The following is a 22,042-nucleotide window of genomic DNA, read 5'->3' on the forward strand; positions in this document are numbered from 1 at the left end:
ATTTGGGGGGATCTTTGCTACTGCTAATTGAATTTTCCTCTTGAATCAGTTTTTTGGCACATATCCAGATGTACCAGCCCTGTGCATAGGTGAAGAAGAAAGATGAAGGGCCCTAAGTATCCTACCTGATTTTCTTATCTCCGACAGGATACCTCATAGCACTTTCTCTTGTAATTCAACTCTGATAATTTACCTATGAAACCAAGGTGTAAGAAATTAGAGTTATGTCAAGTTATCTTTTTTTAGTTATTTATTATTATTATTTTTTTGTAGAGGCTGGGGTCTCACTATTTTGCGCGGACTGGTCTTGAACTCCTACCTTCAAGCAATCCTCCCACCTTGACCTCCCAAAGTGCTGGAATTACAGGCATGAGCCATTGCCTCCAGCCAGTCAAATTAGCATAAACAGATAGAATGGTTTTCATGTCCGTGAGATGTAACAGTGACCAAATTGAATGAATTAATGTTAAAGGAAGATATTTTGAATATTATGGTGGGAAGGGGAGAGGATCACAGAAGCTAATAAGTGATCTCCCAAGCACTGTGCAAAGGAATGGGGGCCAAGGGACTACCAGAATTCCAGTCCCATTGTGGCGCTGGATGCCTTAAGCTATCTTAGACTAATGCTATTATGAACTTAACTGAGGTAACTTCTTTTCCTCTCATGCCAAGCTCCTCAATCAACCTGCTTCTGATGTGGCTTTTTATATTGGGGAGGAGAGCTGGTTATGCTGCTTCAAATATTGGGGACTTTGCAACAGGCCTACATGTAGTTGTATTCTGGTTTTGTACATCCGTTTGTCAGTTTGATTCTTGTGAGTTTACACTGAGAGCTTGTGTTCACTCTCAGTACTCTGGAAGCATTCAGATTTTGAGCCTGAAATGGTGAGGGAGAAGATGCTATTGCTATGAGGAAACATGCAGGTGGCCAGCCAGTCTTTCTCTGCTGATGCTTGGATGCATTGCTGTTGGCCAAGATAAAGACTATTTGCACTTTTATTATAGCCACTTAGATTTCTCTGTTGTTTGGCAAAGGTGGAGACGTTGGTTCTAAAAGTAAGCTTCATATGTTTCCAGGAAGAATAAGGAGAGCTTAAAGAAACTAGGAGAAATAGCCTTCATCAACTAATATAATTTCAGCCAATGCTTAATCGTATGTGTATATACTAGATTTCACCTTGGGACATATTTGGGGAGTTATAGAACTTATCTCATCCAGTTTTCTTATAGTCAGCTGTTTAAACATGTGGTACAACAATCATAAAAGTGCCCATCATTAAGGGCTAACCTGATGTTTGTGGCTCACCCGAGACCAGTCCTATTGGCTGTGTGTTTCTCTCCAGCTCTGAGCCATGGGGAGGAAGCAGACACAAAGGAAGTGGAGCATTGGGTTTAACTGGGATTGGAGTTTTACCAAATGAGCATGCAAAGAGAGCAAACCACCGCAGAACCAAAGGTGTGAGCCAAGGAGCGCTTCTGATGATCAACCATGGATTTGAAGTGGGGAACAAGGGAAGGAGGGACGTGAGAAGGGTGGGGTACAGTGAAAATGTGTGGGAACAATGGACAGTCAGTCTTGGGAGGCTAAAGGATTGATAGAGGTGTGGTTCTAGAGGAGTGAATTGGAAAGATGGGAAGTAAGGGTGGTAAAGTAGGTTGGTTGAAATTGAGAAAATTTGTGGACCCTGGAGCCAGACAAACGTGAGTCCAAAACCAGTCTCTGACAATTGCTGTGTGATAATGCTAGTTGCTTCTTCTTTCTCTGCCTCAAGATTTTTTTTTTAATTTCTAAAATGGCAATAGTAATATCCACTTTATAAAAAAAAGCTACAAAGATCAAGTGTTGTAATGGATGTAAAGAACCTAGCACAGTGAATGGCAAATATTTGATACTTTTAGTAAATGTCAACTCTTGCATTTCTACTGCACAGTAAAGCCTTGAAAGCAGGAGCATCACACACACACACACACACACACACACACACACACACACACACGCACACCCTCACTCAATGCCATAAATGTCTGCTGAAAAAGAATTCAGAGCTGGGCCCCGGTGCCTTGGGGATATGCGAGTCCAGATCATGAGTTTGGATCACAAGCTTCTCAGGGATTCTCACAAACATCTTGGGTTCAGGATGGATTGAGATAGGGGTGGGTGGGTAGGAGGAGCATCAACACAGTATGTGAGAGTTGGGGAAAAATGACAAGGTTTCTTACTTTTAAAATTTGGTTTTCATTAATCATAATTCTGTTTGAGGGAAACCTATGGAACCTGAAAGTTCTGATAGTGGTGTTTTTTTAAAATATGTAAGAAATGCTTTTGAAACAATGTGTTCTCTGCTGTTGTTTTGAGGAGTCCTTAACTGAGAAATGCTCTGTGGGGTCCTTGGAGAATTTTTTAATATATGAATATCATGAGGAGGCGTTTCTTCAGTTAGTCCCTGATGAGGTAAACAGAGTCAGTGGACACTTTCTGGAAGTTCCTGAGGCTGGGGGACAGGGCAGCAGGTGGGAACTGTGCCCTTGTGCTTTGATTTCAAGTTCTCTCTTTAGTAATCAGGTCACTCAACAGTGTCCAAACTTTGTAACCAAAATAGTCTTGCTGGAGATGCTCAATTTTAGGCTCAGTAATGAGACACATTGAGACATAATTATGACATACATCTGAGGTCCTCATTTTGGGAAGAGGAGTGAGGAGTCATTATGTCAAGACACAACAAAAGGGCCAAATGAATAGAAAACCAATCAATAAATGGATGGATACGTGGAAGGAGTCATACTTTGAGAGGGAAGATTGAGGAATTCAGGGTGGGAGTAGTTGTCAGGTAATGAAGACCATGAGGACAAGAGTTCTACACACAGAGAGCTATGTGCTTGAAGAAAAGGAGTAGATCCATTTCCTTCATGCTTTAGTTGGTAAAAAATGTTGATGGCAGGACTGTGAAATTATTCCACAGATATCTTGAAATCATGCAAAAGGTCTTTGAGGTCATCAGCAGGTAGGATGAGGACAAGAATTAACACCAGGTGAAAGGAGAAATGTGTGGAGAAAGGAACCCTGGAGAACTTAGGAGGAAAGGATGCTGAAGAAGAAGGGTATCAAAAAGAAAAAGGTTAGAACCATGAGACTATTGGAGGGAATGCTGGAGGCAGCCTTAGGGAAGGGTAGGGGCAGAGAAGGCCAGAGCTAGGCTTCTTGGTGAGGAAGCTTAACCCCGTTCCTGGTAAGAGAGTCCAGCAATTCTGTGCTACATCTGTCAGGCACTCATTATATCGAACACGCCAATGACTGATGGTCTTATTAAATCAAACTTCAAAAAAAGATCAAGGCTGTTTAGGAAGATACCTAAGGAAAAAAAGGATCAAGGCTGCTATAAAAATGAACTCAGCATTGCATAGTTTTATATTTTTTTCTAACCATTACATGCATTAGTCATCACCTCGAAAAAGCAGCAAAAAGATAGATGTGCCAAAAGTGGTAGAGAAAACATGCCAACATTCAAAGAATAATTAATGAAAAGTGTTGCAGTTTTAACACAACAAATTAAAGTCAGTCCCAGTCTTCCCTAGTTCTTCTCAAGGGAGCCCAGGATCTCCATCCCCTGGATACAGCCATGCCTGCTGCCTGTCCTGACATTGCCCCAGGCTACAAGTTTAATGAAAGCTTCATTACCATAGTTCTGAGTCTGGTGTCTGTCATATCTGAGTAAATCACCCAGCTATGAATCTCGTGAACTCATTGTACTGAGTAATCTTCTTGGTAATCTCTTTTTTTGTTTTTTTTGAGATGGAGTCTAATTCTATCACCCAGGCTGGAGTGCAGTGGTGTTATCTGAGCTCACTGCAACCTCTGCCTCCTGGGTTCAAGCGATTCTCCTGCCCCAGCCTCTCAAGTAGCTGGGATTACAAGCATGCATCCTGCTAATTTTTTTTTTCTTTTGGTAGATAAAATATTTTACCATGTTGGGCAGGCTGGTCTTGAACTCCTGACCTCAAGTGATCCGCCCACCTTGGCCTCCCAAAGGGCTGGGATTACAGGCATGAGCCACCACACCCAGCAAATCTTCTGTGATTTTCTAATTTTCACTTTTATATAGAATGGGTTTTTACTTTTCAAAACTTCATTGTGGCTGGACCCCTGCATTCCACTGAGGTCTGATGTGCTAAGTTCCTGATGCACTTCCTGCTCCTTGCCACCTTACTCTCCTCCAGTATTAACATTCTCCCATCCTCCCTCATCTTCCTACCCTCCCCCACCAGGTGAGAAAGATTTGGCTCCCCAGTTGGCTGACTGGCGTTCAGAGATAGGTTCCTGATTCCCTACCATGGAGAAGTTGCTTGCAAGAGAAACCCAGCATTATAAACGAACTTTCAAAAGGGTCAGTTAGACAAGTTGGCTGTGACATGAGGGTTAATTAGGGAACTTGAAATGTAATATTCTTTCTGGCACAGAGGATTCTGTTGTCCTCCAGGCTGCATGACTTAAGACAGCAATGGACAGTTTCCAGACCCCAGTTGCAAGCGGGCAGGGTCAGAGCTTCTAATTCTGCTAGGCTGAGTCAGTTTTTGGTGCCTAGATGGGTGTGGCCAAGAACGCAGATGGCAGGTAATCATTAGGGGATGTTGGGATGGGTCTGGGACAGGCTGAACTTGACAGCTGTGGTTCTGATTCACAAGGGCAGGCACCACTTCCCCCAAGGACCGTGCAAGCCTCACCATCTTATACCATGTTGTTTTGTTGTGTGTGTTTATTTTTCTTTAGTTATCCCTTAGTTGTTAAGAAACTAGACATATAGATTATTGACCTAACGCTTGTTTACCCTAGAAAGGTTCTGGTTGCTGCGCTTCACCTTGCCAAGGACCCTTAGGTAGGGCTGCCAGCCAAGTCAGCTGACTTTACCTGCTCCTCACACATTATGACTTAGGCTGTTGTGACTGCTGCAGGGCCTGCCACAGAAATGTGGTTAACTCTTGACCCCAGGCTTTGTTACAGGTATACCTCTTTCCTGCTGTTCTCAGATGCAGCCTTATGTGCAGCTTTTGGCTAGGACCCAACAGTCATCATAAAAGACTGACCCTATCACTGTCACTAACTGCCTCTACAACCTTCAGCATATCACAGCACCCAGATTCCATGTTCCTCATTTGGAAGAGCAGGTGGAGAGGGGTTGGCCACTAAAGATAACGAAACTAAAGCTGCCATAATTCTAAGAGATTTAACCATTACTTTCTATAGGCATTGAACTCAGTGGCTCTAAATCAAATTATTTATTATCCTTAATCATGATTATATAAGGCAAATTCTGCCCTTTAAACTCTCTTAATGAAATAGAAATATTTAAAGACAACTACCAGCTTTGTTCTCTTCCTCCTTCCCATCCTCCCTTCTCTTCCCCATTCTTCCTTTTCTTCCTTCCCTTCTTCCTTTCTTTATTTCTCAATTTGAAACAAATACGTTAGAAGTTCAAGTCACCTCTTTGCAGAGACAAATTATTCCAGCAAAAAACTAGAAATATCCGGTCTAGATTATCCCTATGTATAACTTATGTATTTAAAAGCCTTGGAATCCATCTATTATCTATCTGTCATCTGTCTATCTATCTATCTATCTATCTATCTATCTATCTATCTATCTATCTGTCTGTCTATCTACCTATCTATCTATCATCTATCTATCATCTTTAAACCCTTGGAATCCATCTATTAACTGTCATCTATCCACCCATTCATCATCTGTATTTCTAGAGAAATATCTATGCTTTTAGAGTTTAATAAGATAAAGTTTTGATTAGCTATTATTTTAAAATAACGTTAATCTAAAGCAACATTTTTAAAAAGTATAGTCTTAACATTACCTATATAGAGGAACCTGAGATGTTTGCTAAAAGTACAGGAATCTGACTGCAGGCTGAGAATCACTATTACCAACAAGACTGCACACCCCTGCCCCCAACATTCTTAAGCACATCATATTCTGAGAAACCTGCATGTGAAGACTTTGAAACCACAATATATCATGCAATGTAAAGGACTATTTTGAAGTGGTAGCTAAGTGGTTGTGAGGGGTAAATATACCTCTGGGAGCCACCTCAAATCCCTTGTGGATATTAAAAGTATAAGTGAAATAAAAAGGGAATGTTATAAATAAATGAATATGTAAAAATATCTTTAAGTAGCTATGTATCAATTTATTAATTCTGATGTTGAATGCTCTGTCCTACTCATTTTTCAAAGAGATTAAAACCTCTTTCCCATTAAAACTTGCCAGCCTGTTAGAGCACATAGAGCTATCTATCTGCTAGAATAATAATACTTTTTCGAATTTACCAGTATTTTTCAAAATGTATTCCAAAGAACTCTAGTTCATGAACTATCTGTACTACCACCAAACAAACAAGCAAAGAGTGAGACACATTTGCAAAAGCCCAGCCTATATAAATTATGAAAACACTACAAATTATGTACCCAGTATGTGAGCTCCATAGTGCACATTAGCTTATTACAGATTATGAGAAGCCTTACAATATGAAACTTTTAATGTTTTTAAACCAGAATTTCTAAAACTTATTTGACCAGGGAGTCTTTTAAAAAATCATGTTTATCAATTTCTCTCTTTTCCTCTTTCTCTCCCTCAAAGCTGGTTGTGTATTTGTTTTCTATTTAATTATGTAAAGCCTTGAATTATCTTTTAATTATTGTTTAACCCTTCATGCATAATTATATGCATTCCATATATGTATATGTCATGCAGGATTGTGTGTTTTTATTTACTGAGTGGATTATTTTGTTTTTGCCTTTTAGTAGTGCTGTTGCTAAATGTCCACATAGTCTTTACTGATTGGAGTGGACTTTCTTGGTACCAATTAACTAGGATAAAACAGGCCATGAGACAGAAAATGAAAGTATGGATGGTAGGCTCTAGGTAAGCAAGAGATAACTCCATTCACCTTGGGTTTTGATATCTCTTATGCTTTTACATGATCATTGTTATAAGGATGATAACATTAATACTACTTATTGTGCAGTTATGGTCTGTGATGTGGCAAGTACTTGTTATTTCTTTTAATTCTGAGAACAACCCAATAAGGCAGGCATTATTAATGCAATTTTCAGAGGATTATAGATACTTACAGCTGAAATCTACACAGAAATATAGCAAAGCTGGGTTTTGAACTCATTTCTAACTGACCTCAAAGCCCATGATCACAACCATTCTGTCCATTGCCTGCTGAATCTAGAAATTCTCAACTGTGCTTCTAAGGTGGTAAAGTTTATAGGTAGCCTCTTCCGTGTGATGTGAGGCTCGGAGCTAGACAGGGAAGTGACTCCTTAAACAGAATAAATACATATATGGTCTAAATCACACCATCACATGCCATGGTTTGCGTGTATGTGTGTGTGTGTTTGTGTGCGTGTGTGTGTGTTTATTTCTCTTTTGTTGTTTGTCCCTTAGTTATTAATAAACCTCGCTGAAATATGCAGGCTTTACCTCAGCTGTGCTATGAATAAGTAAAGAAAAGGTGAGGTGGCCATAAATGGACCATAGAGCTCAAGAGGGAACAGTTCTTCTCACTTTGAATGGCTGCTGCTGTGATCATCAGCCAAGATTGACAGGAATTAGAAGAATGTTGGAGAAAAGATTGGTGCCTGCAAAGGTTGGCTGCCTGAGCTTTGATCAATACTCCTGTCTAATGTCTAGGATTTAGTTTTAGAAATTTAGCATTAAAAATAATATATCTTCTGTAACAGATATTTAGTAAACTAATACTTTAAGGAAGGGACCATTTTTATTATTCATTTTAAGACCCCATAATGGTTAGCATGGTAACTTGTCCCAAGTAAGTGCTCCATAAATACTGGTTAATAAGAGAGACTGAGCCTGTCTTCAAGTTAAAGAAGGAGGGTGTTGGGTACAAAGACAAACTTCACTCAGCACATTGCATGTGCCAGAGTGCATTTTTAGGATTAATGAAGAAATATAACATCATTGTTTTTGATGTATACTCATTTGCTGAGGGTATATAGCCTAGTTAAGTTTTTAGTTGCTTATCAATTAAATGACATTTTGCCTTTTATGTGGTATCATTTAACAGCAGGCTACTAATCAGAATTTCATTGAGCTTTCAATTGCATGATGTAATGAGACCTAAAATGGATATAATTTCAGGAAGTTGTTTTACCAAATTATTTTTGACCTGAGAAGGATATCCACAAAACAGTTATTTGTAGCTTCTATTATATTGAGTGGTTTCTACTTAATTAAAATTGTGTCTCTAGCCTAGAAATTATTTTCTAAGAAATGTTTTCTTGCTAAATAAGATTGTTGTATATAGGAGAACTAACTCTATCTACTGACTGCTGCTGCTTACTGAGGAGACAAATATATTTCCATAAAATTCAAATAAAATGTTTTTAGATTCCAGTCAAATGCCATCATCTAATGAGATGACTGAGATGACATCTACTACCTTAAAGAAGTCAGGAATGAGGCCGGGCACGGTGGCTCACGCCTGTAATCCCAGCACTTTGGGAGGCTGAGGTGGGTGGATCACGAGGTCAGGAGATCGAGACCATCCTGGCTAACATGATGAAACCCCGTCTCTGCTAAAAATACAAAAAATTAGCCAGGCGTGGTGGCGGGCGCCTGTAGTCCCAGCTACTTGGGAGGCTGAGGCAGGAGAATGGCGTGAACCCAGAAGGCGGAGCTTGCAGTGAGGGGAGATCGCGCCACTGCACTCCAGCCTGGGTGACAGAGTGAGACTCTGTCTCAAAAAAAAAAAAAAAAGAAGTCAGGAATGAACTGCTTCAAGGCTAAGACATACTTGGCTCACATCTCTGATATCGGCTAACACTGGAATCAGCATGGCCCAGAGGATAAAAACAATAAACAACACAAACAGAACAAAATAGAACAAAACACATAACTGAAAATAAAGACAACTGAATTCCAGTCCCAGCTCAGCCACTGTTGTGCTTTGTGGGTCTTGTTCTTGTACATTTCAAATCAAGAGGATGGAACTTGTTCATCTCATTGTTGTGAAGATGAAAAGTTGAGTAACTTGTGGATCTGGGTGGGACTGTATTAGGGACTGGTACAGTAAAACAATTAAAATGAAATGATCCACAGGAGACACTTCCATCAATAGGTAAGTTACAGTGGGTGGGATAATGAGCCCTTCAACCCACCAGCGAATCAGTAGGGTAAAGCTAGCACTTCAACACATTGGTGGTGGTGGTAGTGAGGGGGTGAGTTTATACAGCATTAAGCTTTTCTTTTATTAGTGGAAAACTCTGAGTAGAGCTTGTGTGTGTGTGTGTGTGTGTGTGTGTGTGTCTAAGATTTTCCTATCTGTTGCCACGCTGTTTTGGAAACGGCCTACTATTTGCAGACTCACTGTCATTCACTAGTCCCGATTTTAATCACTGTTTGATCTTATATTACACATGAAATGGTAGAATAATAATTAAATTTTGTGTCACTGTCCCTGAAGACATATTTTCATATATTAATTGCTGATTAATCTTCTACTTTTTTTTGTTGTTGCAGTTGTTATTCCGTGACATCTTATCTACTTAAGCAGCTAACCCATGAGGCATCCAAAACAGAGAGAAAAAACAGAGTGAACATTTTGCCTTATGGAATTGTCAAAAGTTGCGGTCGAAACACAGGCAAGATTTGGAAGAATCTGTAATGAGCCAGGGCCAGTTTTCCTAGTTATAGAGCCTAGGCTGGAGGAGGTACATGGGCTGGGGAAGGAGAGGGAATTAGAGATTGGCTGTTCCTGGAAACTCTCTGCCTGTACTCCATGGCCTGAGTCCCAGGACCTGGAAGCGGCTGAAAATCTGAGATATAGAAGAGACTGGTGCTGCCTTTCTGGGGAGGGCTTGGGAAAACAGCAAGTTCCCTGAATTTTTCCATGGCACAGGAGCAGATGAAATGTCATGATTGGTGTCCAGGCTAGTGGACTGAGTTAACTCCCGAGAGTCCCTGTACTCTCCAGCATGGCACGAGGAGAAGCAAACCATTTTCCTATGCAGCCATAGGAAAACGGTACAAACACGACACTGAAATTCAGCTGACCGCAAGAGCTTGATGGTCAGTGTGAGCCAGATGGAGCAGGAACATGTATGGATGGAAAACCCAGATCCAAAGTTCATCCCCCTCTCCCGTGGATGCTCCAGCACATTGCAAGGTTTCCCAGAAACTTAGAGGCAACCTTGGCACAAGGACATGATTTGTTGGAAATTAAGTTTTGTCACCTGGGGGACTGCGAGCTTGATACGGAAATTAATTCAGTTATATAATTATAAAAATGATGCACTTTCTACACATCTGATTTTGTGAACCCAAATTAGTTTCCACAACGCAACTGTGTTAACATTTGCCAACCTCTGGGGCAACATTGGTTGTCTTTGTTGCTTTTTTCTAGAAGTTTTCAGCTCAAACTCATCTTTCCCTTTTTTATTTTCATTTCTAAATTCTGGTGAGTGGTGTTTTGATAAGTAGATATCAGCTATTTCCTGTCTTACTTGAAAAGTCTTCTCTGTATTAAATAACAAAGGTCACTTAGATAAATATCTTCTCATTACCAGAGGGTAGGGAACTGCTTCTCCTATACATAACTTCTATTATCTTTCAATCCAGAAAAAAAAACGTGGCAGGAGGACAAGTTTTTGAATGTTATGAATCGTGATTTCTGTGTCTAAAATCTGCTCTTTTGTTAACACTAAGGGCAACTTCCTTCAAAGTGGTTCATCTTGGTCTATTACTGTGTTTGTGTGTGTGTGTGTGTGTGTGTGTGTGTGTGTGTGTGTGTGTAGTAAAACCAAAGTTTCCTATTATTTTTGAAGGTATTTGGCCCTGCTGGAAGACAGCTATGTATAAGTTGAACTTGGCAGAGAGAAAGGGAAACCAGATCTTACTCCCAGGCCTCCTGTCACCAGCTGTGTGACTTTGCTGAAGTCATTTCTTTCCCCTAAGTCTCAGTTCCAATACCTATAAAGTGAGTGTTCTGCCTGTGTGTGTTTTAGGTCTTTATTAATGTTGAAATGTCCTGACTTTATGGGTTCTCATTCACTGTGATGTGGTAACCAAAACAAGCAGAGATTAATAACCAGGACTCAATAATGTAAAACACTAAAAATTATATTTTTGCAAATTTTTGTAAACGCGGGATCATATCTCTCTCAGTGACAGTATTGGTGTGATCCATTATTGTACATTTAGTGGATAAACAGAATGTAACTAAGAAGTGTTATCTTTGTTATCAGGGGAACGTGGAGTTGGATGTGTATGATGGGGATGGGCAGTTAATTCATAGGTTAAACACTCAACGAGGGAATATCTCTTTATCGCTATCTCCAAAGACTCCCCACTCTTCCTCAATTTTCTTAGTAACTCACTGCTCAGACTTAGTTTCCCCAGAAGCAGACTATGAGACCAGGATTTGATGCAAGCAGTTTTTTTGGAGTTGATCTCAGAAAGGCTAAGAGAGTAGAGAAGTAATACAGAGAAGTGAAGAAAGCTAATAGAAGGTCCCGGTGCTCTCTCCTGAAAGAGAGCGCTGGAAGACTGAGTAGAACATGCCCCAGAGTTGTCCCCCTCTGCTGGGGCAAGAGAACTAGGGTACTGATCAGCTAATTTCCGTGCTTCACTGGTTAAGGGCATTAACCTCCCCAAACTTCTGGCCTGTGCCCCAGATAGACCAGGCATGCTTCTGTGGCCAGAGAAAGCCCGAGGATGGAGAGTCACAGATGCTTGTGGTAGGTAGCAGGTGGTGTGTATGGAAATGGGAATGGGATGCCAAGGGGATTTGGGCAGGGCACCAAGCATCTGCCGCATTACCCTAATCCAGGCAATAACACTCACAGTATCCCAGGGATTCCCCTTCTAGCCTCGAATTCCTCTTATTCTCATTTATTTTGTATTTACTTTCTAGACCATAGTTTCTCAGATAGTAAAGGTTCTACTGACTTTCCTCATCTCTCTGCAACCTCTTTCCTGCCTAGCTTCTCTTCCATGGTCAAGCCAATACACACAGAATTTTGCCTTCCATTCTTCACTCAGGTGTTTCTTCCACTTGGAATCTGTTCCTCAGTCATTTTCACTAATCCATGTCCCTCCCAGTACACAGAATTTTTCACAGAAAACATAGTTAATCCTTTAAAAATATATTTAGATTGACTTGCATGCCCCTCTTAAGGTTTTTTCTTTCCAAATGCCTTTTTTAAAACCCCAATTTAAGAATTTCTTTAGCCAATACTACAACAATGCAGTCCTTGTTCTCCACTTCTTTCCTTTTATCTACTCAATGTTATTAATCTTTTTAGTGTAAACATCAGTAACTCAATCGAGCCTTTTCTGATCCCCATGATTAGGATGAGTTTTTGTGTTGCCTACTCCAAAAGGTCTGTCCTTTTTAATGCTCACCACACTTGAGGTTTCTGTTCACACTTCAAAGGCTGTGGGGCCCGATACCATGATTTTGCTGCACTCCTAGACCTGGCCTACTGGTACATAGTAGGCATTGATAAAAATTTGCTGGAGCATTGCATAAATAAACTATGCCATTTGGGGCTGATTAACATTTTAACGAATAATTGATTTTACTTCTTCTAAGCATTTTTCTAGTGAATTTATAAATATATTAAAGGTGGAGGCTGTTTCTTTTGTGTCCCCTCTGGAGTGCTATATACAAAGTACTTCATACAGTAGGAGCTTCAAAATGTTAGTAAACTAAATACACACACACTCACACACACACATGCACACACGGAGGTAACTGCAAAGTCTCAGAGTATGTGCTTTGGTAAGAGGTTACTTGGACCATTGGAGCATGCTGTTCTCTCTCATGTGACACATAGCAACAATTCAAATAGAGTAAATCGGGCAGGATACAATGGCTTATACCTCGAATCCCAGTACTTTGGGAGGCTGAGGCAGAAGAATCGTTTGAGGCCAGGAGTTAGAGACCAGCCTGGACAACCTAGCAAGACACTATTTCTCCAAAAAGCAGAAACATTAGCTGGGTGTGGTGGTGCACCTGTAGTCCTAGCTACTTGGGAGACTGAGGTGGGAGGATCGCCTGAGTCCAGGAGTTCGAGGTTATAGTGAGCTATGATTGCCCCACTGCACTCCAGCCTGGGTGACAGAGTGAAACACTGTTTCTAAAATAAAATAAAATAAAATAAATAAAATAAAATAAAATAAAATAAAATAAAATAAAATAAAATAAAATAAAATAGTGAATTAATTGCTGGAGAGGTACTAAGTAATAAAATTGGGCTTCAAATGGAAAAGCAATAAAAAAAATAGGTCCTGTGATTTGGAAGAGTAATGAAGGTGCTGAACATAGACACTAATTGTAAATGTGTAGGAATGCTGGGAAGAATAAAAATTTGCGGGTATGTGTGCTAATTGGTGTTAATAACAAACATACAAAGAAAAACAAATTGGGTTAAAGAATAAAAAGAAGCACAAGATTTGCAGTCATTAATTTTGAAGAAAAATGTAGGTGAGAAAAAATGAAAAAAGCAAACTAAATATTTTGAAAACAAAGAAGTTCATCAGCTTAAGGATACACTGGACTTTGGGAACTTGGAGGCAAGAGTGTGAGGGGGGTGAGGTAAAAAAGACCACACATTGGGTACGGTGCTCAGGTGATGGGTGCACCAAAATCTCAGAAATCACCACTAAAGAACTTATCCGTGTAACCAAACACCAGCTGTTCTCCGAAAAGTATTGAAATTTTAAAAAAATTTAAAAAGAGATCAATATGTATTAAAATAGCAGTGACACTTTTGAGAAGACCTAGTGGTTAACAGAATAATATCAATAATCACCCAAAGAAAACTATTCCGAAATGTGTTGTGTTTCCCTGGTATAAATATAATTAGAGAATAAGCGGAATAGAAGAAAATTATCTTCACATCTATATATTTTACCTGTTTATGGATGCAATTTCCATAATATATACGCAGAATTTTTTCTAAACAGAAGCATGAAAATAAAAAAATATTTCAAAATAAAAGTGCTTCGGTGGAAGCATTAGATGGAGTATGATAGGAAATTTCATTTTCCCATTCTATTCAAACCAAATTGGGTAAAAGCCTGCTAGCTTTTCTTGAATGTTATCTCAAAAAAAGAAAAGATAAAAAAAGTTTGTGATAAAGTAACAGGCTACATAGGCCATCTTTGAACAACATATAAAGACTGTATATAAACACATACACAACAGATATATATGATTTAGATTTTAGTGTCTTTTGACATTTTCTACAGACATTTCAAATATTATATATGTATACACAAATATTAATAAGGATACAGAAATCTAGGTGTGCCTGATTTTACATTTCTTTGGGCAGCATGGATTTGCTATGAAGCCATTTGTCTCTAAACTATCTTTCTGAAAAAATATGCACATGCAGACACAAACGTGTGTGTGGTAGTACACTGGTAAACTCTGTGCTTGCCAAATGTTCTTGTATGCTGTTAGCCAGTCAGAGCTTCATGACCAAATGAACATGCTCATCCATTGAGCAAGAACCCACCATGCTGCAAATTCTCACCTTCAGAGAGTGCTGTGCTGTGCTGTCCCGAGCTGAGTGTGCTCCTCAGTGTGTGTGGCTCACTGCACTGGGGCCTCTCTTTTTGCCATGTGTTTTGTGGTCTGGTCTACAATTTTGAAAGACTGTGGCTTCCAGAAGTGGTGTAAATAATCAACTTGCAATAAGACACAGGTAGAGTATCATGGCTGATGGTAAAATGCATGTTTAATATTGACTTGAGGTATTTTCAGAGAAATGATCAAGTAGAATTGAACAAATGAGAGGCAATTAGAAGTGTTGTTGATCTTCAACACTGTGAAAGGCATCACTCATAATTGTAGCTGTAGGAGGTTGGATCAATATTTTGTGAATGATGGCTGGAAGAACCTGTAGCCTGAGACATTATAGCTTCATGAGATTTGAAGAAAGCACAAGAGCGATTGTAAATTTTAAATGCTAAGAAAGAATAGCTGTCCCTCAGTATCTATGAGCAATTGGTTCAAGGACCTTCTCTGGATACCAAAATCTGAGGATGCTCAGGTCCCTGATATAAAATGGAGTGGTACTTGCATATAGTCTATGCCCATCCTGTTGTATACTTTAAATCATCTATAGATTACCTGTAATACCTAATGAAATGTAAATGCTATGTAAACAATATAACTGTTATGCTGTATTGTTTAGGGAGTAAGGACAAGAAAAAAAGACTGTACATGTCCACTACAAACACAATTTTTTTTGATCCACAGTTGGTTCAATCCCTGAATGTGGAACCCACAGATGTAGAGGATCAACTGTATTTCCAGAGAAGACTTGCATGATCCCGACTCAGTTAGGACCTCAGGAAGGCAATGTCTCAGAATAATAGTATATATATATATGTGTGCATATATGTACGTATATATGTATGTACACACATATATATATGTATATATCTCACAGAGTCCCTAATGTTATTGACAAATATGCATTCGTAATTTTTTACCTGGTTCTTCGTCAGTGTGCTTAATTCTCAATATTTTTAAAAGGTTGAAAATACAGCTGAAAGTAAAATCAAATTCAGTAAAAATACCAAATGTCAGCCTCAGAGCTAAATACTGTCTAACAGCTCCAAGACATAAAAAGAAAGGAATATTCAAATTGATGAACATTATTAAAGACAAGGACATTTTCATTTATAAAAGAGAGAAAGTATTTAAAGTAAGTAAGTTCTTTATACTTCTAACTAAAATGCTTCTCATGTCTAACTCTTATAGCTAAGTAAAAAATAATGTAATGCTCCTTGTACACATCTTTTTACTTATAGTAGCCTTGAGAAAAATTACACATAGGTAGTTTAACTTGCTCAAACCCATCAGAAATTAAGGGAAATTGAAGAAAACATTATTAAGGATTTTATTCACATTTAAGTTGCTATTGTATGCAGCAAGAGATTAAAGGAACCATAAGATAAAGACTCTGACTCTATGAATATATGCCCCAGTAGAAGAGCATATAGAATTGGGTTTGAGATCATTGCTTTTTAAAGTATTTGTCAGCTCACGTTTGACACTCAACCTGTTACTCTCATCCAGTAATATGGTACTAATATTTATCTGTTTATAGCCTCCTCCACACTTCTAGTGAGTTACTGAGTTTAATTTTCTCTTCTCATTCAGAGCAAGCTAATGGGAGTAAAGGATGAATAGAAGTTCCCTCTGTCACTGAGGCAGGAGAATCGCTTGAACCCAGGAGGTGGAGGTTGCAGTGAGCTGAAATCACGCCACTGCACTCCAGCCTGGCGACAGAGCGAGACTCCATCTCAAAAAGGAAAAAATAAATTCTCTCTGTCTATCCCACCACCTCAGGTCTGGTCATATGACCCTATACTCAGCTAACATGATACTCCATGGATTCTTGACCATTTAAAAATCTTGTCCTTCAGGGCTTTTACTGATTTTGGAGTATACAATAAATATCCTTCAATTATTTTGGGTGCTTTATAGCCAGGTTTGTTTTTTTTCTAGGCAGCCACAATCTTGACTAATATGAAAGTTGGTTCCAGGAGCAGATTATATACCAGATCTCAGGGAAAAGGAGGAAGTCTGGGATTGTACCTGGCATAACTGGGGTTAAAAGCAGTGAAAATGCAGTTGTGTCAGTGATCGAAGGATGACAGACTGTGGTAAGCAATGACAAAACGGTTAACTTTCCATTACTTGGAATCCAGTGCAAATTGAAGATCAGGCTTTGGGTATCAATTTGCTGATGTTGAATAACAGCTGAAAAAAACTAACTGGGTGTGTGAGGGGCTGCTGTTAGACAAACTAAGTGGCTTGGATAAAAAAAGAATGACAAGCTCAAATATTAAATTCTTGGGTCACAAACTTAAGCTTAGGGAACTTTACCTGATGATGCTAGCAGAATATTTGGACTCTTATAGCTGTAGAGATGAGGTATCCAAAAAATAAATAAAAAGGGTAGTCTTGAGTTGCCAAGTTAACACATTACTTATCCCCTCTTCAGCTTCTTTGGTGAGAGTTAAAATATTAAATGGGACAGAGTGACATTCTGAATATTAAAATGGAGATATATGGGAGGATTTGAAGGACTTGAAATAGCCACAGAATCCAAATTCTTTAAGCTTCCTTAGCCAGTTGGTGCATTCAAAATAGCTCAGGTAAAAACCCTTTTCTTTGTTGGAAGAGGCAGTCCTTCCCACTCTTAAGTCAGTTCTCTTCAGATCCTAACCCTCTTTCCCCCATTTTCATTTCAAACTGGTAACTGAATTTGGATTTCAGCATACTAATTTATGTTGTCAAACTTTGTGTAATAGTTTTATACAACAAAATAAATACACAAAATAAATATACTTAACAATTTGTATAATAAAATACCTAGGGGAGAATATGTCTTATTAAATTCCAAACATGCTCAACCAAAAAGTGAATAAATGTAGTCTTAGGTTAGTCTATTTTTTTTTCATATAGTGCAATTATCTGAATTCATAGAGAGGGCAAGCTACTTTTAATACAGGAAGCTGTATAGATTATTGATCATGCTAAAGAAAATTAAGATGCCATAAATTATTTACAATAGTACCTAGAAAGAAATAAAATGACCGAATTTATAACATGAATCTCATCTACTTCCTAACTATGTTGCCTAAGTAGACATAGATGACCATTTTTACTAAGGCCTTGAGAAATACTTATGAGGGAACTACTAGTATCTACAAAAATGTGATTGTGGCTTCTCTTGTCAGTTGGGGATATTGATGGGAGGGACTAATATTGAAATAGTCTGCCTGATTACAGTGGAGATTGGAAAGATCCTATGATTGAGAAGGGCAGGTGCAGAAGTCAGGCACTTAACCTCCAGAGGCCATTTATTCGTGCTTTCCCTAATAGAGACACATAGATATTTAACACTGATTTATTGATCATTGAGTCTATAGATCTGAGATATATGGGCAATCACAAAGTTCCTAATAAATTTGCATAAAATCCCCATGTCTCAGGATGAAGCTCACCAAAGGAAAAACAGAGTCATTACTCTATTTCTAGACCTGTGGTCGTTTTCTGGTGTAAATATATTCTGAAGAAAAGAATATAAGTAGACCTTTCAGTTGTTTTAAGATAATGGCTCCCAAATTACACATGTCTGTTATAGAAGAATGGCACTGTGGTTCAATGGTCAGAGTAGAAATGTATGATGTTCAGGTGATAGAGTCTTGACCCAAGCCCATCTCACTGTAGGCATAGTGGGACCTACAGACACATCCTCTTCTTTTTCCCTTCATTTCCTGTGTGTTCTTGGAAAAGATACTCTAGACAACTGGCTAAATACTCACATTTACTTCTTAACTCAGGAATAAGAGTTATTATGAAAGGAAAGAACAAGGATGGAAGTCCTGGATCTCACCTTCCTTACTAAAAGAAAAACCAAGAGCAGTAGGATATTCCCATAGAATCTGAGAGATTAGTGCTACCATCAATGACTGAAATGGTAGGTTGTGGTCATTTCTATCGCAGCTCCATTCAACTCTCCAATTAGTTTGATGGGGAAGACAGATGGGTCTTGGAGAATGAGTGTGGATTATCGTAAGCTTAATTAGGCGGTGCCTCCAAGTGCAGCTGCTGTTCCAGATGTTGTCTCCTCACTAACTCATATCAACAGAGCTCCTGGCAATCAGTCCAGGCTGCAGTGCAATCAACTCTACCTGGCAGCCCATTTGATCCAGCGGATCCAATGAAGCTTGAAGAGTTTGTAGCAGATTGGGATGCTTTATGGAGCTCCAGTAGTAAATTCTCAGTCAAGACCTCTAATATCATTTAAAAAATCAAAGTTATGACCTCTCCAGTAAGTAACTAGTCCTATTTTGAGAAACAACTCTTGAAATGCTACTGGACCTTGGTAGGACTAAATACCTGGCATTATGATCTGAATTTCCCATTATGAATGAGTCACAAGCTCATTCACCAAAAAATAAAGTGAGGAATCCACAGCAGTACTCCCTCAAGTGAAATGCACACATACCCATGCATCCACGTGCACATATACACACACACATATGCACAGGAATGGTTCCAAGCCAATCTTAAATGCACATGTTAAATTGCACAAGGAGGATTCTCATCTTCCTGGTATCATCCTGCTACGCTGCTGTTCTCTCTCAACCCCAGTGGCCTCATGGAAGGATTCCTGTGACTAATTAGTAGCCTGAGATGCCAAATAAATCAATAAATGGATAGATACGTAGATAGATAGATAGCTCTTGGTTTACAGATGCTTCTTCCTGATTTCCTGGGGCCAGCACTGGTGGACTTATGGTAAATGATTGTACTTCTTAATTCAATGCTGGTCCTAAAGAGAAGTAATCCTGTTGTCTAATTTGCCTGGAAGAAGTCATAGATTGAGTTAAGTAATAACAAAAACCAGTGGACCAGTGGGTAATGATTAATAATTTGAGCAGGTAGTCAGAAGCTTAGAAGTAACAAGAATATTTTGGTAGAGGGTAGTGGATATCTTTTTCCATCTGAATGCTCTCAGAGTGGAAAAATATTAGTGTACCATTTGAATGCTTATCAAGAGTCTCTTAAGGTTCAGGATAGATGATAACTCACTCTCTAGATGTCAGTCAGCCTCCCCGCCCATTCTCCTCATACTTGCATAATGATCTCATGAATTATGTAGCAATGGTGATAGTGAAAACTACTGTGTTGGATTGAATGATGGTCCCCAAAAGATATGCCCACATCCTAATCCCCAGAATCTGTGAATATGACCTTATTTGAGAAAGAGTCTTTACAGGTCTAATAAAGTTAAGGAATTTGAGACAAGATCACCTGGATTTCCTGAGTAGCTTCTAAATCCATCAAAATGTATCCTTATAAGAGACAGAACAATAGCCAAGATGTGGAAGCAAACTAAGTGTCCATCAACTGATGAATAGTGGTATATATACAGGATGGAATATTATTCAGCCACAAAAAAGAAAACCCTGTCGTTCATGGCAACATGGATGAGCCTGGAGCTCATTATGTGAAGTGCAAAAAGCTAGGTACAGAAAGACAAATATTGCATGTTCTCACTCATACGTGGGAGCTTTAAAAGTTGATCTCATGGAGGTAGAGAGTAGAATGATGGCTACCACAGGCTGGAAAGTGTAGGGGGAAGGAGGGATGAAGAGAGGTTGGTTAATGGGTACAAAATTATGGTTATAGAGAAGAAATAGGCTCTAGTGTTAGCACAGTCAGGTGACTATGGTTAGCAATAATTTATTGTATAGTTAAAAATATCTAGAAGAGAAGATTTGGGATGTGCTCAATATGAAGAAATGATAAATGTTTTAGGTGATGGATACCCCAATTGCCCTGATTTGATTGCTACATAGTATATGCATGTATCAAAATATCACATGTACGTCCAAATGTGTACAATTATTATGATTAATTTTTTAAAAAAGAGGCAGTGGAGGAGAAGAGAGACACAGAGAAGGCCATGTGAAGATGGAGGCAGAGATTGGAGTTACGTAGTCAAAAGCCAAAGGATACCTGGGGTCACTAGAAGCTGAAAGAAGCAAGGAAGGAGATTCTCCTAGAGTCTTCAGGAGGAACAAGGTCCTACTGATGTCTTGATTCTGACTTCTGGACCCCGGAACTGTGAGAGAATGAATTTTTGTTGTTTTAAGCTACTGAGTTTGTGACAATTTGTTACAACAGCCAAAGGGACAAATATACTAAGGAGAGATTCTCTATATTATTTTGCTATCACTGTTGCTGAGGGCTCAATTTTTCCAGTAGAATTATTAGTCCATTTTTAGCTAAGGAGCTAGAACCTGGGTGGGACTTTTGGCAGGGTGATTACTTTTTTTAGTGGGACATCAAGTATTTGTGCCAACTGAAAAACACCTTAAGGATATGGACTGGATTTGTTTTTTCTGCCTATTATATTTCTAGAAGCACCGTTAATTATGGACTTAACAGATGCCTCTTAGCTCATCAGATTATGTCGTCCAACATTTCTCTGGCCATGAAATTGTTATTTTGTGAGTGAAATCAGGTAATATGCTGCTGGTCATGGGATAAGTGGTTTTATCATGTACCCTATCATCCCAAAGCAGCTCACTTACAGTATAATTCAGAGGCTCATTGGAGGATCTCTTACAGTTTCATTTAGGAGTTCTCCTTATGAGATTGGAACTCCTGTTCAGGAGAGCAGTATATGGAATGATTTCTCTCAGAGATAGATAATATGCGAGTCTGGAGAAGAAGGGTGATAGAAAATTTTATGCTTTTCAGGTTACAGCTCATAATGTGCCCTAGAAATTGTGCTAACTCCAAACACTTCTGGCTTAGAGGATTTAGTAAGCAAGAGATGAATGCATCCACCAGGCATTGTAACAAGTGTTCTTTTGAGTTGGAAGCTGAGACAGCTATTTGGTCTTTTTAGGTTCTTCACCATGAGTTGAGTATACTAAAAAGAGGGATTATAGTGCTGTCTGGGGTGATTAATCCTGACACTGAAGAAAAATAGAGTTGCTAGTTCACAGTGGAGGCAGAAAGGAGAATGGACAGAATCAACTGAGACGAAAGTGGGGCTGGGGAAGACCTTTGCATTGCCAAGTATAGCAATAAATTAAAAATGGCTTAAAGGTGACTTTAGTCATATACAGCAGGATCATCTAAGACTTAGAATTCTCAGGAATAAAGGTTTGGATTACCCCAGAGATAATGTTATTCAACCAGCTTTTGTGCCGGCTGATGGCAAAGGGGACATGAAATGAAGGAGTGGGGAAGGCATATTCATCTTCATGATTTTCCATAAACAAGAAGTGTAGTCACTTCTGTATTATTTTACTTGCTCTGTCTCTCTCTCTCTTTGTATATAGTTACATATTTAACTAATCTACCTTTTATTTCCTGCTCATTTCATATAGAGCATACTGAGTTCACAGTATGCTCATATAGAGCACACCACTATTTCATATAGAGCATACTGAGTTCAC

General features: G+C 39.0%; 1 protein-coding gene and 1 long non-coding RNA gene across 3 annotated transcripts in view; one reads left to right on the top strand and one right to left on the bottom strand.

Moving 5' to 3' along the window:
- LINC00402 (long intergenic non-protein coding RNA 402) overlaps positions 1–12,594 on the top strand; it is a 28,533-nt gene extending 15,939 nt beyond the window's left edge. Inside the window, exon 2 of the long non-coding RNA NR_144451.1 lies at positions 9,551–12,594. This is a non-coding gene — a long non-coding RNA (long intergenic non-protein coding RNA 402). The remainder of the gene's footprint in view (positions 1–9,550) is intronic.
- Positions 1–22,042, bottom strand: part of KLF12 (KLF transcription factor 12) — a 619,957-nt gene that overhangs the window by 561,294 nt on the left and 36,621 nt on the right. The gene's annotated exons all lie outside the window — the stretch shown is intronic.

Source organism: Homo sapiens, chromosome 13 (assembly GCF_000001405.40).
Source record: "Homo sapiens chromosome 13, GRCh38.p14 Primary Assembly".
NCBI lineage: Eukaryota > Metazoa > Chordata > Mammalia > Primates > Hominidae > Homo > Homo sapiens.